Here is a 17,265-nt window from a genome sequence, read left to right as displayed (position 1 = left end):
GGTTCATCTCGCACCTGTCCACCACCTGGTATCTTCTTCAGTGCCCCAGGAATGGCCTTTTTCCATACAGCTAGGGTATGCTTGTGCTCTTTAAAACCAGTTTCTTTACAAATCTGTCCTAGATTATGATGAAGGAACTCTCAGAGCTGCGTTCTCTTTGGCAGTAATTATTTCCTTTCAAGTTCTGGAGTTCCTGAAACAACTGCTCAAAGTGATAACATACAACTCAGTAAATATGTAATTAAAGAATCCACCTAATTGCCCCTATTAAACACAGAAGTTCTGGGTTATTTCACAGAATTCAATCAGCCAGGAAACATGGATAGATCCTTGCTATGTAATAACTTAAATAATAGTTTTTTATTTATATATCCCTAAGAACCAAAGGATTGACAACAAAAATTAAAATCCAAATCTTAGCCCTTGAAGGCAGAACCTACTTGTACATTTTTATAAGGCATTTTTCTACCTTCAGGTAATCTTAAATTCTAGCCTCAAAAGGAATGCCCTGTTACATAAAGTAGTAATTTTTAGCATTCTGATAAAGCTCCATTTATATAAAAGCCTTACTGATGATCTTTCCAGAAAAACGATGCAAATATAATCCCCTTTGTTAGTATTTTCAGGAGCGAGAATCATGATAGAATCTATGTATATAGTATTGGAAATTAGAATTATTATAAAGTTCCAAATTTGGATTTCAATACTTGAACTATTTGACTTATTTCTGCTGCTCCTTTGGTCTTTCTGTAATTGAAAATTGACTTTTTAGTTAAAAATATTTTTATGTTTAGTCACATAAACAATACAATTCCTGAAATATAATATCCTTTTAAAGTTGTAATTCTAATAGTTGCATATTGTATTTGTAAGGAGAAGAAGAACTAATGAAACTATTGAGATATTTTTAGTTTTCTTAATGTTTAATTTGCCTTCCCACCTGGGCACTTTAGGGAATTTGAAAGTATTTTGATATAATATTCCAGTGAGAAAAGTCATCACCAAATGGTCTGTCCTTTTTGTGCTAATATTGTTCACGCATCAACTCCTGTTTCTTCTGAGATGGTAGCAGCTGTTTGAGTTGGAAAAAGGAATGAAACCTTGATAGTTTCACACTCAGTTCTGCTGTATAATGAACTAAGCTAGCTTCTGAATATCCAGCTTATATTTTAGAGGAAAGTGAGATATTGCTTGCAGAAACTTTGGTTATTTGCTAAAAACCCAATAGTTATCAAAAGTATGCAGACACATTTTCAAAAATATATATGGAATGAACCAATTTATAAAATCTATTTAATTTAACTTTGGCTACAAATTATTTTTGTATCAAAGAGTCAAGAAACTGTTATAATACACCTTAATTTTAGATCAGTTTATAATATGTATAGTTTGTGTGTTTGTTTTTATTTAAAAGCTAAATTAACTAAAAGATACAAAATGTGAACCCTAAAGTGTTCTTCTATACATAAGATTTGTGCATTTATCATCGATATCTTTTTACATCTTATTTAAATATGAGTAATCGTATCCCCCAAAAGTTCTTAGAAAATAATCGCAGCAGCAAGTAAATTATATTCAAATAAAATATATGGTATCAGACACAAAGAAAGTTGGAATACTTAATGTCTAAGCAAAGCTTTGCATTCTTCTATGTTCTTTAAGTTCATGGAAACCAAATATTTTAATTTGTGTAGAATAGGTATGTGACACTGCTTGCTATATGTAATATTTAAAGTTAGCTAGTGATTTTCCTCTTTACTGAAGTATAATACTTTATACTTGGAGTTGTCCTTGAAGACCACAGGGAGGTTTTACATTGTGCAGAATCTAGTGACCCATTTACTCACTAATGTGAATCCAATGTTGTACCTATGTTCTGCTGTGCCTGTTTTACCTCTGAGTGATATTCAGGGTCTTGTGTTTAATCAACCAAGACTTACGTGGTTTGGCCTATTGTTTTCTCACAGGTGACAGTTTCTACTAACTTACGAGGATAGAGGTTACGGAACGGCAAGGAGACTATTGCAAAGACTCTTCTTACTCTTAAATACTCTGCTTCTCTGGCAGAAATAAAAGTTTACAGCTGAAAATATAACCTGCATAGATTTTAAAACCGAAGTATCAAAATCAGCATAGCAGTGGACATCTACAAGCACAGAAGAAAATGCTCATGTCTAAACTTTAGTAGATATGTAGGATCTAGTACACAAATTTCACATTATTGAGGCAAAGTACTCACCATCAGCAGTCTCAGCAGATGTTTTATTCAGCCTCGCAAGGATCAAAGAACTGTGTTTGATTTCATTTTAGATTCAGTTTAACATGTTGAATTAGATCTTAGGTCTGATCTTTATCAACTGAATTCTTCTTACAAAATGTTAATGATTTAAAAGATGAGCAATATCTCCATTTCAATTATAGTCATCATATTTTTAAAGTCCACCAGAGTAATGGCCTTGGATCACTAGATCAACTAAGATATGCTTTAGATCATAAGTTTTATTATTCATTTTCACATGATAGCTCAGTTTATTGTACAAATTGTCTTTCAATCTGATATATGGTGACCTAGAAAAAGGGCTTTATTTTCATGTCTATATAGATAACTCTGTGCCAGTTCTGTCTGACTTAAAATTGCATCCAAAATTTAAGAAGCAAATGCATCTGGCACAGACAGAGGAGAAGGAAAGTAAGAACAGAAAATGCCAGGGATCATTGAGTGATCTGTTGAGTGGAGCTGGTTGGGCCACTGTGTGGTCTGTTGAGTGGAGTTGGTTGGGCCACTGTGTCACATGAAAAGTGTAAGACTATTTGAGGCAGTGACCCCTTCCACTGCATCAGTAGCAAAGTGGACCCTGCTACCTGTGAGCCTGCCATAGGGCAGCTGGGCAAGAGCTACACCAGCACTTGAGAGCTACACTAAAAGGAACAATTCCATAGAATATCCTACTTTCTGTATTAGGTCACTGAAGAGACATTACAGCTTGCCAATATTACAGAATATTATATTCATAGAATATTCCTCAGGATGTCTTTTGACCCAAAGCCTACATTTCAGACAAGTTACCTGCCCATCTTTCACAAGTGACAGCGTACCACTATCTCAAGTGGCAGAGAATGCCTGGCTCTCACGTAGAGCTTCTCACATATGCTGCTGGAGGAAATTTCAAAATTACTGATCCCTTCCATGGCTAATCTCAGCATGCTTTTTCCCATATAGACCTGTATTATAGCTTTAGGGAGTCCCTGGCTCTATCTTCCAGTACTTCCATGAATTGGATGGTGAAAATGGGAGAGATTTGCTCAAGCAAATAATCCCTGATGTTTGCACTGACAACAGCTACCACCTGTCCTCTTAGACAGGGTCTCATAGTGTGTAGTTTTATTCTTAAGTAGGTATGCAGCAGTAATTTTGTCTATCAGGTTGACTTGTGTTCTTGGCCTGTACAAGGAATGGAAAAGGCTTCAAAGGGAATTAGATAACCTGTATGTCAGTTTAATGACTCGCAGTCCTCACATGATGAAGTGGTATTGCCTTGGATTCATAGTGAGCAGTGGCTATGGGTATGGCCCCAGTAGGTTTTCTTTGTCTTTATTTGGAAATGATATACTCATACCAGATAGGATGTTTAATCTAGCCTGGCTCAGATTTAAGAGATAACCTCTTCATATTAAAAACAATGCTTTTATAATCATGCACCAGCTGTAAGTGTGAAGACAGCCTTACAAGGGGCACAATGGTTAAACTCCCAGTCTTACATACATATCTGTCTATAAGAAATATATGTGAGAGTTACAAAATGCAGAATCTGGAACCCACTGTCATAAAAGCAAGTCATCAAAATGCTGAAATTAGGGATGAATTAACATTTATACTAAATGTATCTTTTATCATAATGTCTATCACTGATGTATGAATAAAAATACTTTTATATTTTGGAAGTGAATTGAAGCATTTGTATTAATCTCCAATACAATATAAAACACACAAACAAACAGGGCTGGACATGGTGGCTCACGCTTGTAATCCCAACACTTTGGGAGGCCAAAGCAGGAGGATCACTTGAGGCCAGGGGTTTGAGGCCGGCCTGAGCAACATAGTGAGACCCTATCTCTACAAAAACAAAACGAAACAAAAACATAGCCAGACAAGGTGGCATATGCCTATAGTCCCAGCTACTCAGGAAGCTGAGGTAGGAGGATTGCTTGAGCTGAGGAGGTGGAGGCTCTTATGAGCTAGGATTGTACCACTGCCTTCCAGCCTGGATAACGGAGAGACACTGTCTCAAAAACACACAAACAGACAACAACAACAACAACAACAACAAAACACATACAAGCAAGCCCTGTTTTATTAATATATAGAATAGAATGAGTAATCTGGAAGGTAGGAAATTTCACATGAATTGAGATTTAGATAATTTCTTTCTTATATTTAAAAAGCAGACAGTAATACAAAAAATTTTGTGTTCAAATTAAACAAGAAAAACATTTATCAATTTATTTATGTATTTGTGTGAAACTTTTCCCCTTCCATGTATTTTAGTCTATCAATTCTGCTTTACATTGGGCAGAAATTATGAAATGAAAGCAGGACCATCACAGAAACACTGTAGTTCCTTGGTTTGAGGAATGAAAAAAGACTATGGTAGCAACAGCAATGACAAAAAATAGCAATACAGATGTAACTTTGCATTTATTGAAGAAATATTTTGTATGCATAGCATCTGCCATAGATAGTACAATTCTGTCAACAAAAGTCAATCTCTCACTTAGAAAAATAATATTTTGCTTAACAGTGAAGTTCATTTGAAGTGTAAAACTAATAGAAATTAGATGATTCTTTCTACTGCTTTCAAAAATGTGGTTTGTGTTCTTGTTCAAGACATATTTTGAGACATTTTTTTGAAACCTTGTGAAATGGAGCTGGTAGCCTTGTTGACTCCCAAGCCCCAAAATAGTGCTGAGAGCTGAAGAGTGATTTTATATTTCAGTAGTTGAAGATTTACAACAGGAATCCAAAGGATTATTCATAATAGTACATAAAAAGCATAAAAATGATTATTCAAACAGATAGAGTCAGAACACGTTACATCTGTGAAAATTTCTAAAATATTTTACTCCTATGCTATTGCATACACATATAATATAGTACCGTTCTTCCAGAAGAATCATGTTAACTTCTTGTAAGAGGTTGTAGGCCTTTTTCAAATGTTATGGCTTAGATCATTTTCTTGTATGTGAAACTGTTGAAGTATCAAAAGCACACTTCAACTACTTTCCAGTATTGTTGCAGACCACCCTGTTTCTTGGATAAGTCAAATGTGACATTTCATTGAGACCTGCTTCCTTACTTTTTCTCCATATTTCCTGTCAATTTAATGTTTGTTGTATCATGTTAATAGCTACTCACTATTGGACAACTGTGTGTTAGACACCAATGTCACATTGCCTTTATGATCACATTCAGTGTCTGTGAAGTACTTGTCGTCATCCCCATTTTGCAGGTAAGGAAACCTAGGCTTATTTTAGATAGGAAATTTGTCTGAGGTCTATTCTCTGAAATTCAATATATCATTCTGCCTGTAAAGATCTTGAAAGCCTAAATTGGCTTTATTAATATTGGAATAGATTCTGCATGGTTCAGTAAATGTTAAAAATATTTTATATCATAGGACAATGAAGATACATATTTTATTTTCAATTAATAACCTGAGAAGTGAAAATGCCCAAATATCTTATAAATCAAATATAATTAATGCATCTTTTTTTGAGAATTTGGGTCATGATTAAATTACTAGGTATAAAGAGATATCATCCTTGCCAAAATGTTAATTATTTCAAAATTGAAATCTGATTGTTCTTAGGATAATTGACAAAGCCACTAGGTTATATGATTTGGCTACTCATGACATTGCTTTCCTTAACTTGTGATTTGGACATATTATGAAGGATGGGATTCTTCCTCTAAAGTTAATAGTTAATTTTTCATTGTCCTTTAACTGCTAACATTTGAAGTGAACAGTTTTATTACTAAAGAGAGATGCTTTTGGAACCACTAGTGGGATAAAAGTCGTAGTGGTTTTATCAATGATGAAAAGGTTAGAACAATTAGAAAGTACTCAAGGCGTAATTGAGATGTATGAACTTCTGGTACACCGTGAAACTGTTTTAAATGGTTGCAAAAAAAGTAGAATCAGAATTATAAAAAGAAAACTAAATACAGAGTTCATTTAAGGATTGCTATTTTCTACCATGTATTTTTTTCACTAGGGGACAAGAATTTGCAGAGTTTTTCTATAATATGTATCATTGTATATATTGTAATTTATATTTACTATTGTATTCAAACAATAAGTTTACTCATAGACTTGCCTCTAATGATAGTCTCATCTTTTATCTACCCTGTTCAAATGTGACTTCTGACCTTCATCCTGAAGGATAATGTATTAATGTATTGATGTACTCAGTGACCTGTAGACATTTAGTAACTTCCAAAGCAACAAGGCTCAGATTTGCCCTGTAAGTCATGTGTAAAGAATATTAACCTAAAGGTATGTACGATCTTAAGATGTAATAAGAATATGTCATTATAAAGTGCTTTATAAACTTTGAATGCACATGTTCATATTCTGAGTGAAGTAAAATTTTTTCCATGAAGTGTACAGTCTCTAACACTTTGTTAATGTTTGAACCAGCTAAAAATATTTCCTATTTGGTGAGTTCGTACTTGCATTGGGCATTCCTAGAATCGTTCTCATTCAAAGGATTTTTTTAATGCTTTTGCTCTAGAAATTTATGTAGCCCATTGTGACATGAAGGAAAGTGAGAGCTTTCCGAGTTACACTGATAACAGAAATTTATTTTGGAAGAGGTTCTGAGAACACTGGCTCAACAACAATTAGCCATTCATGGACCAGAGACCAGAATAATATAAAACAAAAAATGAAAATTTGGGGAGGGGTCTTGATTTGAATGTCTAGTGAATTCGGTTGAAATACATTCCTGACATCTCAGGAACTTCACCTCATCCCTTAAAATGTTCACTTCTGTGTCTTAATTGTCTCCCTCTTCATTGCATCAAACCTATTGGCGTGTATACATGCTCATCTCTTGCCAAAAGTAAACACAACCAAATTCACAAAACAATTGTCTCTCAGGCCCAAATCTATCCAGGTTACATCTCCCCACGCATCTGCAATGAGATACTCACATTTGCTGTCTCCACTCATTCAACACTCTTTTATTTGTCAATTTTTTTATAAGATGACATATACTTCAATCACTACCCAGAAACTTATTTCACCGAGAGTACCATCTGCTTTCTACTATACTAATCAATGAGCAACTTTCAGCCCTTAGTTTGTTTAAATTATAAGAATTTCATACCTCAAGACCACCTTTCTTCTTGGAATTCCTTTATTCTTGTTTCCATGCTACCGTGAGTTAGTAGATTTTATTCCATTCTTCTGCCTTTTTCTTCTTAGTCTACTTCAGTATCTTTTCCACTTATCTTTTAAAAGCTATTATTCATCCAGGTTCTGTTTTTAGGTCTGATTTTCTTCTCACTCTAAATGAGTCTATGAATAATTTCTTTCATATGAGTGGTTTCAATCACTATTTATACACTAATATAGAGAGACAGATAGATAATAGATACATATTATTTAACTCTATCATGTATCATCACCACCACTTATCTAAATTCTGACTTTCAGTTCTATATATTTAACTGCTTTTTTGAAATCTTCATCCAGAATCACAATATAAATTTGTATATATTCAAACATATGATAATAATAATATTTCTCCAAATTTTAGTTTTTAACTTGGGTCTTTGTATTTAAAAAATACTGCTATCATGATACAGTTTGGAAACAATATATCTGTGTTATTTTAGACTTTGCATTCTAAATAGTGTGTGCTTTTGTATTTGTGTGTGCCTTTTCTCCTTTTTCCTGATAAATCTCACTATAGTTTTATTCCACTGAATTAGTCTTTTCAAGAAGCCATCTGTGGGCATAATTGATCATCTCTATCATGTCTTTGTTTCCTATTTCATTAATTATTTCTTTGCAGCTTTGCTTTGTTTTCTTACTTCTTAAGTTGGATGCCTTTTTGTTCTTTAATTTTTTAATTGAACTTTTATTTTAGATACAGAGGGTACATGTGCAGGTTTGGTACATGGGAACAATGCATGATGCTGAGGTTTAGGGTATGGATCCTATTACCAAGGTAGTGAATATAGTACCGAATATGTAGTTTTTCAAACCACACCTCCCTTTCTCTCAGTAATCTCCAGTGTCTATTGTTTCCATATTGATGTTCATGTGTGCCTGATGTTTAGCTCACACTTACAAGTAAGAACACATGGTATTTAGTTTTCTGTCCCTGCGTTAATTTACTTAGGATTTGACCCCTGACTGCATCCATGTTTCTGCAAAGGACATAATTTCATTCTTTTTTTATGAAAATATTTTTATGGTTGTATTCCATGGTGTAAATGTATCACATTTTCTTTATCCATTCTACCATTGATGGGCACCTGGGTTGATTCCACATCTTTGCTATTTGAATAGAACAGCTATGAACATATAAGTACATGCTTATTTTTGGTAGAATGATTTTCCTTTGGGTATATAATTCCGAGTAGGATTGCTGGGTCAAATGGTAGCTCTGTTTTAAGTTCTTTGATAAATCTTCAGATTGCTTTCCACAGTGGTGGACAAATTTACATTTGCAACAACAGTCTATAAGCATTCCTTTTTCTGTGCAGCTTTATCAACAACAACTCTTGTTTTTTGACTTTTTATTAATAGCCATTCTGACTGGTGTGAGAAGATATCTCACTGTGGTTTTGATTTGTATTTCTTCCAGTATATTTACTTAAAGCAATAAATGCCTCTTCAAATATCACTTTCACTAAGTTCATTAGCATTCTATGTGTAGTATTTTTGTTATTTAATTACAAGTGTTTGAAAAACCCCATTATGGTTTCTTCTTTAACGAAATATTGTTAATTACTATTTTAATTTTTGAATGTATAATTATTTTAATATTCCTTTCATTTGTTTACTTTTTAATTTAATTAGATTATGGTCAAAGAATATGATTTTTACTATTTCTTTAGATCCATTTTATGCTTAAGTTCTAATATGTAATCATTTTAAAATTGCTTCATATAAGCTTGCGTAGGATGTGTAATCCTTGTCTGTTGTATGCAGTATTCCATATGTGTTCATCAAATCTATTCTATTAATTGTTCTACAAAAATTCTGTATCTATTATTTTAATAGAGCATCCATATTAAGAGAAACAAATCCAAATATTCTACTTTAATATTACTATGTCAAATTCACCTTGTTCTGTTAATTTTATGTATACAATTTTGGCTATTCTATTAGGTGTCTACATCTTTGGGATTACTATATATTATGAATGAATTGATCCTTTTATTATATAAAGACACTCATGATGTGGAAACATTTATAAAATTTTTATGATTTGCTTGATTTTTGTCTTTTGAAGAAATCAATTTTTTTCTTAGATCATAGAAGTATTTTTATATTCTCAGAGAAAATGGCAATTTTGTTTGTCTTTTACAATTATTATATTTCCCGTTGACTTCTCTTATTGCATTGACTGAAACTTCCAGTAAATTTTGCATAGTAATAATGAGAGTAAAGTGTCCTTATTCTTTTAAAGTGTTTACCATTAACTTTAAAGGGTTTTTAATATTTTATTATTGATTATCATGTATATGTGTGTATGTATGTGGGGGTGTCGCTATACATAATTTGCATCCTATTGTATTATCATTTCTTGTTTATCTGTCCAAAAACCTATTGAGTGTAAATTCCTTAAAGGGAAATCTGCTTTAAAAAATCAAAAACAAAAAACATTATATCTCCGTTGCTTAGTATAATGCCTAAAATTAGTATAATGCCTAAAATATATTATGTAGATTAAATAAGTATATTTAATAATTTAAGTATTTATTAAACTAAATTATATTTATTAAATTTAAAATGAGTAAATCAATAAATATGTACTGCCAGAAGCAAACATTTATGCATTAAAGAATAAATAAGGAGAAAACCATTGTGCAAACCTTTTGTTCTTCATTTCGTTTCTTGTTTGTTTCTCTATATTGTAAGAAATTCCTCCTCGAAATTTGTTAAAATTATTATTCTATGAGGACGATGTTTGGTGGGTCAGTTAGATGGCTTTGGCTGTTATTTTTCTCTTTTTTCATTTTTCCTTTCTGTTGTTTATTTGTTTATTTTTTAATAACAATTGCTAAAGGAGTCCAAGGAGTTGTTGTTGGGCCATTACCTAAAACAAGCAAGCAAAAGGCAAGATGAGTCAGGAAGATTGTGATTATGTAAGCTTTGTGTTGTTATTATAATATTTTTGTTTTTCAAGTTGTAGAATGACATTGCAAAAAATATGTGAATAAGTAAAATTACCATTTTTTGGCTTTGTAAAATGCTGGAATCTCATATTATAGACTGTAATATAAATGTGCATATTTTAAAAACCTAAAATTCACCAGCAAATCTTCACTGTTGACAGCTTTCTGGTCAGTGTGGCTACAGAAGTCCAGGCTTTTCCATAAATTAAAATCAGTTATACTCTAGATCCATTCATTTTACAAAGTGGCTGCTAGTCAAATACCATAAAAAAAAGTCACTGTTCAAAATTTAAGATTTGAAACAGACACTGTATTTTCATGTATCATCTTTAATATTTGCTAAGATCCCAGGTAAACTCATTTAGTTTGGTTTGACAACCATCAAAGAGTCATCAGAAATATCTTCCTCAAATTCATTTCAGTTTATTTTTTCAATGGTTGTATTTACTTATTGTAGAAGCAACAATTTCTATAGTAGCCCCTTAACCTTTACACCTTCAAGAGGAAATCTCAACCAGATTTTCTCTTTTATTATATATTCCTTTTTAAAAGAAGTGATAAATGACTCTACTTTCCAAGTCAATATGTGACAGTTACAAATTCATAGTATATTTGTAGTTTGAAAGACTGTGCTTCATGACAGGTGGCAGGATTGGTGGTGATTCAAATTAATACTAAAGAATAATAAATGAATGGCAGAGAAAGTCTGCAAAATCTTTGTCTTAAGACACTCAGTTTTGGAAATTTAATGCCCATAAAATGAATTGCTACTAGGCAAATTAGGAAGGGATTCGGAATAGTGATATGTGAAGACAACAACATGAAGATATGTGTGACAGGCTTTTTCAACATAAGTCTGATATTCAAGTTATAAACTGGTCTCATCTTAAACTTACTATATAAGGATACTTGTCCTTGGTGTTTTTTTTTCTTTCTTTTTTCTTTCTTTCTTTCTTTTTTTTTTTTTTTTTTTTTTGACAGAGTTTTGTTCTTGTTGCCCAGGCTGGAGTGCAATGGCAACATCTCGGCTCACCACAACCTCCGCCTCCCAGGTTCAAGCGATTCTTCTGCCTCACCTCCTGAGTAGCTGGCGTTACAGTCATGTGCCACTATGCCCGGCTAATTTTGTATTTTTAGTAGTGGTGGGGTTTCTCCACGTTGGTCAGTCTGGTCTCGAACTCCCGACTTCAGGTGATCTGCCCACCTCAGCCTCCCAAAGTTCTGGGATTACAAGCATGAGCCACTGCACCCGGCCTACTTGGTGGATTTAATATACTAACTTTATAGATTGAATTAATTGATTGTGCTTCATGGTTCCTTGAGAAATGTATGTGTTAAAATAGACTATATCTCAATGTCTATTTTAAATTTAGTGTATAATAGCATATGACATAGAACGGAAGATTTTAAGAAGCTTCTTCGTCTGCTTTACAATTTCAGAAATCTCAATGCAGATTCTTTTTATGAACTGATATGATTTGGCTGTGTCCCCACCCAAATCTAAACTTGAATTATATCTCCCAGAATTCCCACATGTAGTGGGAGGGACCCAGGGGGAGGTAGTTGAATCATGGGGACTGTTCTTTCCCATACTATTCTCGTGATAGTGAATAAGTCTCACGATATCTGATGGGTTTATCAGGGGTTTCCGCTTTTGCTTCTTCCTCACTTTTTTTCTTGCTGCCCCCCATGTAAGAAGTGTCTTTCGCATCCTGCCATGATTCTGAGGCCTCCCCAGCCATGTGGAAATGTAAGTCCAATTAAATATCTTTTTGTTCCCAGTTATTGGTATGTCTTTATCAGCAGCATGAAAGTGAACTAATAGAGTAAATTGGTACCAGTAAAGTTGCAGGGGGGTTGCTGAAAAGATAACTGAAACTGTGGAAGTGACTTTGGAACTGGATAACAGGCAGAGGCTGGAACAGTTTGGAGGGCTCAGAAGAAGACAGGAAAATTTGGGAAACTTTGGAACCTCCTACAAACTTGTTGAATGGCTTTGCAAAAATGCTGAAGGCGATATAAACAATAAGGTCCAGCCTGAGGTGGTCTCAGATGGAGCTGAGGAACTTGTTGGGAACCGGAGCAAAGGTGATTGTTGTTATGTTTTATCAAAGAGACTGGCGGCATTTTGCCCCTGCCTTAGAGATTTGTGGAAACTTTAACTTGAGAGAGATGATTTAGGGTATCTGGCGGAAGAAATTTCTAAGGAGCAAAGCATTTGAAAGGTGACTTGGGTGCTGTTAAAAGCTTTCCATTTTAAAAGGGAAACAGAGCATAAAATTTCAGAAAATTTGCAGCCTGATGATGCAGTAGAAAAGAAAAACCCATTTTTTTTTGAGGGGAAATTCAAGCCAGCTGCAGAAACTTGCATAAGTAACAAGGAGCCTAATGTTAGTCCCCAACACCATGGGGAAAATGTCTCTAGGCTATATCAGAAAACTTCACGACCTAGAGACTTAGACCCCTAGGTCCCAGCCACTCGAGCCATCACTGAAAGGGGCCAATGTAGAGCTCAGGCTGTTGCTTCAGAGGGTGGAAGCCACAAGCCTTCGCAGCTTCTATGTGGTGTTGAGCCTGCGGGTGCACAGGTCAAGAATTGGAGGTTTGGGAACCTCCGTCTAGATTTCAAAGGATGTATGGAAATGCCTGGATGCCCAGGCAAAAGTTTGCTGCAGGGGCGGGGTCCTCGTGGAGCATCTCTGCTAGGACAGTGCAGAAGGGAAATGTGGAGTCTGAGCCCCTACACAGAGTCTCTACTGTGGTACAGCCTAGTGGAGCTGTGAGAAGAGGGTCACCATCCTCCAAACCCCAGAATGGTAGATCTACCAACAGCTTGCACCATGCACCTGGAAAAGCCACAGACACTCAATGCCAGCCCATGAAAGCAACCAGGAGGGAGGCTGTACCCTGCTAAGCCACAGGCGTGGAGCCACCCAAGACCATGGGAACCCACCTCTTGCATCAGTGTGACCTGGATGTGAGACCTGGAGTCAAAGGAAATCATTTTAGAGCTTTAAAATTTGACTGCCCCGCTGGATTTCAGACTTGTGTGGGCCCTGTAACCCATTTGTTTTGGCCAATTTCTCCCATTTGGAACTGCTATATTTACCCAATACCTGCAACCCCATTGTATTTAGGAAGTAAGTACCTTGCTTTTGATTTTTACAGGCTCAGGAGGAAGGGACTTGTCTTGTCTCAGTCAGACTTTGGACTGTGGACATTTAGATTAATGCTGAAATACTAAGACTTTAGGGGAATGTTGGAAGGCATGATTGGTTTTGAAATATGAGAACATGAGATTTGGAGGGGCCAGGGGTGAAATGATATGGTTTGCCTGTGTCCCCACCTAAATATCAACTTGCATGGTATGTCCCAGAATTCCCATGTGTCCTGGGAGGGACCTAGGTGTAGGTAGTTGAATCATGGGGGCTGGCCTTTTCCTTGCTATTCTTGTGATAGTGAATAAGTCTTACGAAATCTGATGGGTTTATCAGGGGTTCCATTTTTGCTTTTTCCTCATTTTTCTCTTGTTGCTGCCATGTAAGAAGTGCCTTTCACTGCCTGCCATGATTCTGAGGTCTCTCCAGCCATGTGGAACTGTAAGTCCAATTAAATCTCATTTTGTTCCCAGTTTCGGGTATGTCTTTATAAGCAGCATGAAAACGAACTAATAAATGAACACATATACATCTAAATTTTTACTTTTAAAATAAAATTTTTATTGCCTTATATGACTTATGCCCGATACATACAAACACAAAGACGCACATATGTGCATACACAACAAATACACATTGTGCTGTTTCCTTATAGTAAAAGAGATGGGCTAAGTCAGACACAACCAAAATTCATTTATTATAAGTGTATGTAGGTCAATGAAGAGAATATAGTCCCTATGATTTTGAAAGCAATTGTACATCAAGACATAGTAGGAAATGCAACCTTCCCCAAAATTTCACTATAGATTCTACTTATTAATGTAGCCACTTAATTATGTGATTACCTGTAAATGGCATTTGCTGTGTGCACTTAGGCAACCTACTGAGGTGTTAAAACAGCAAATTAAATCAGCTTTACAGATACAATAGAGGTTGAGTAACGCTTATTCAACATACTTAAGACCTGAAATGTATCTGAATTTGATTCTTTTCAGATTTTTGTATATTTGCATATATGTAAAGAGATATCTTGGGGATGGAACCCAAGTCTAAACACAAAATTTATTTATGTTTCATGTATATCTTATAAATATGGCCTGGAGATAATTTTACACAATATTAAAAAAAAACTTGTGCATGAAACAAAGTTTGTATATATGGGACCATTGCAAAGTGAAGGTGTCATCATCCAGCCACCCATGTGTGCAATCTGTGGTTGGTTGGCATCACCATCATTTCTAACTCTAAATTTACAAGCTACGGAGAAGAAATCATTTTCTTACACTTACTCATATAGAGTACTTACCAGTAAAAAAAGTATGACATGGCATTAATAGAGTGAAAAATAATGTGTTCAGGGTAATGGAGCAGCACAGCAGCATCACCAGAATACCTGCATCGCTCTTAAACAACAACAGACGATGGCAGGCTTTCTGGCTCCACTTAAGATGTTGTGTTTAATTAAAAAGTTATTGTACACTTGTGGCATTATTTCAGTGCATTTGGGGCATTTCAGATTTTAACTTTTGAATTGAAGAGGCTCAACCTGTGTTGCTATTGACACAGTGAAAGAACGTGCTTTTGCCCAAAAATATAGTATAGTGAAAACATAGTATTGTGAAGACATCTCACTCCCCCTGCCCCACCACCACAACAGCCAAAAGAAAAGAGGAGAGAAATACACAGCATGTGAAAACAGAGGAAACTCTGAGAATGCTGCTCAATAATGTCCTTTAACTTTTAAAGAAAAACTATAAGGTATGTAATTCATATCCAAAACAATAGGTCACAGCAGATGGAGTTCTTCCATATGGATGGAGTTAGTAAAAAGAAGCCCTAATTGGAGTGTCAATCACCAAGAAAAAAATATTTTAAGAAAATCAGTAGAATGACATGTTAGTAGTATTGCTTTATGATAATTCTGAGTAAAGAAAATAAGGAAAAATAATGAAGGTAGAGATAAAGATTGGAGTGGAATCATTCAGAGAAACAGTGTCAAAACAATTATCCTAGGATATCAACTGTCTTGTGAGATGTGTCTTATACAACTAAATGCCGCTTACCTATGGAGGGGCAAAAATGCAATCTCTACCCCCTAGTCCAACCATACTTAACACCAAAACAACCCATTTCATCGAGTGGACAAAAACAATGTAGAAAAGCAAGATGCATGCACATTCACTTGTCAACTTTAAGTTTGCACATGATTGCTTCAGTGCCCTAAACAAAATTCTGTTTCACACCATCTTGCAAACTCTATTTTCTGCTATTACATTTAGTGTTCACAAGTAACAAAAATGCTGTTCAACAACTCAATTCACTTGAAGTAAACTCTAAATGATTAATGTACTTGGAATAAAAATAAAACTACATGGGAATACTTTAATGAAGTCAGAAGAACACACACAATAGAAATGATAGTTGACTCTGAGGATGCATTTTTTGAGCATATCTTTCTACTTACTATTCAGATAATTGACATGTATTAGTGTTATCTTATCCCAGATATTTAAGGAGGTCTTATAGTATGTAATTTCACTGAATTTTTTTCCCTTTGAGGGCCAGGTAGACATTTTTTTAAAACCTCACTCTTTATAAAACTCCAGATTCATTATTATTAAGGAAATACTTCAGATGTCTTCCAAACAGTTCCTTGTTAAATCTGACAACTGCATGACTGACATGCTTTTAACAAGGGTTTCTGTTGCAAGTACATAGGTAAGGTATCCAGAATATGGAAGGACAATGCAAGCCCTGGAGACTGAGTTGCATATCTATATTTGGATGAAAGACCAAGATCAAATCTCCTCTTGTAATTTTCTAAAGGGAGAGATATTGCAAGGAAATCAGAGAAAAATCTTTATGTTGGTTTTAAGATACATGGGGGTACAGTCAGGGAAGCAAGAAGATATTTCAAAAGAAGACAGATTTCTCCCTTTGAAGTATGGAGTTCCACTAGACCCTGTTCCACACTACACTTCCTTCTTTCTTGTCTCTGAAATTTGGACATTCATTAGAGAAGTGAGATTGTGTCTTTGGGAAAAGTGTTCAAAATCTAAACAGCTTAGCTATAAATGGTGGACATTTAAGGAACATCAATGGTGAAACTCTACAATGTTGTTTTGCTTCTTCACACGTAAAATATATGTCTCTCTAATCATGAATGTATGCTCCATGCACATATTAATTATATGTCCTGAATTAAATTCATATCCCATAGCATTTACAGTTTATGTGCATATATGTAGTTTGTTATCTGTTTTTAACAGTGTTTCTTATAGTTTTATGATTGCATCCTCTTTACATTAGTAGAATACACCTCAAAGGCAAATAGCATTGGAAAATTATGATAATATTAGATAATTATGTTTTTTCACTCACTATTATATCCCCTTATGTATACCCATAGTCTAGTACAAACCTGGCTAATCAATAACTATCTGTTTAGAAAGTGAATGAACGAATGATTGGGAGTGCCTGCAAGACCTATATGTTTTAAGTAATTTAGAATGAACATAAAGATCTTGTATGTTTCTGGAACATTCTACTCAAAATTGGTGATATACTTGTTTTCTGGAATCTTATTCAATTAAGCAGTAATTTTCCTTTTTTAAAAAAAAAATCTTACCTCACAGCATTTGAGGGATATAATACTTCTTCATCAATAATATAATTGATGCAAAAGAGGAAAAG

At 34.6% G+C, this 17,265-nt stretch overlaps 1 protein-coding gene across 4 annotated transcripts in view; it reads left to right on the top strand.

Moving 5' to 3' along the window:
• NEGR1 (neuronal growth regulator 1) overlaps nucleotides 1-17,265 on the top strand; it is an 886,597-nt gene that overhangs the window by 121,270 nt on the left and 748,062 nt on the right. The window lies entirely within an intron of this gene.

This window comes from Homo sapiens, chromosome 1 (genome assembly GCF_000001405.40).
Source record: "Homo sapiens chromosome 1, GRCh38.p14 Primary Assembly".
NCBI classification, from domain to species: domain Eukaryota; kingdom Metazoa; phylum Chordata; class Mammalia; order Primates; family Hominidae; genus Homo; species Homo sapiens.
Note: the sequence above shows the minus strand (reverse complement) of the source record. Positions and strands in the feature narration are given on the sequence as shown.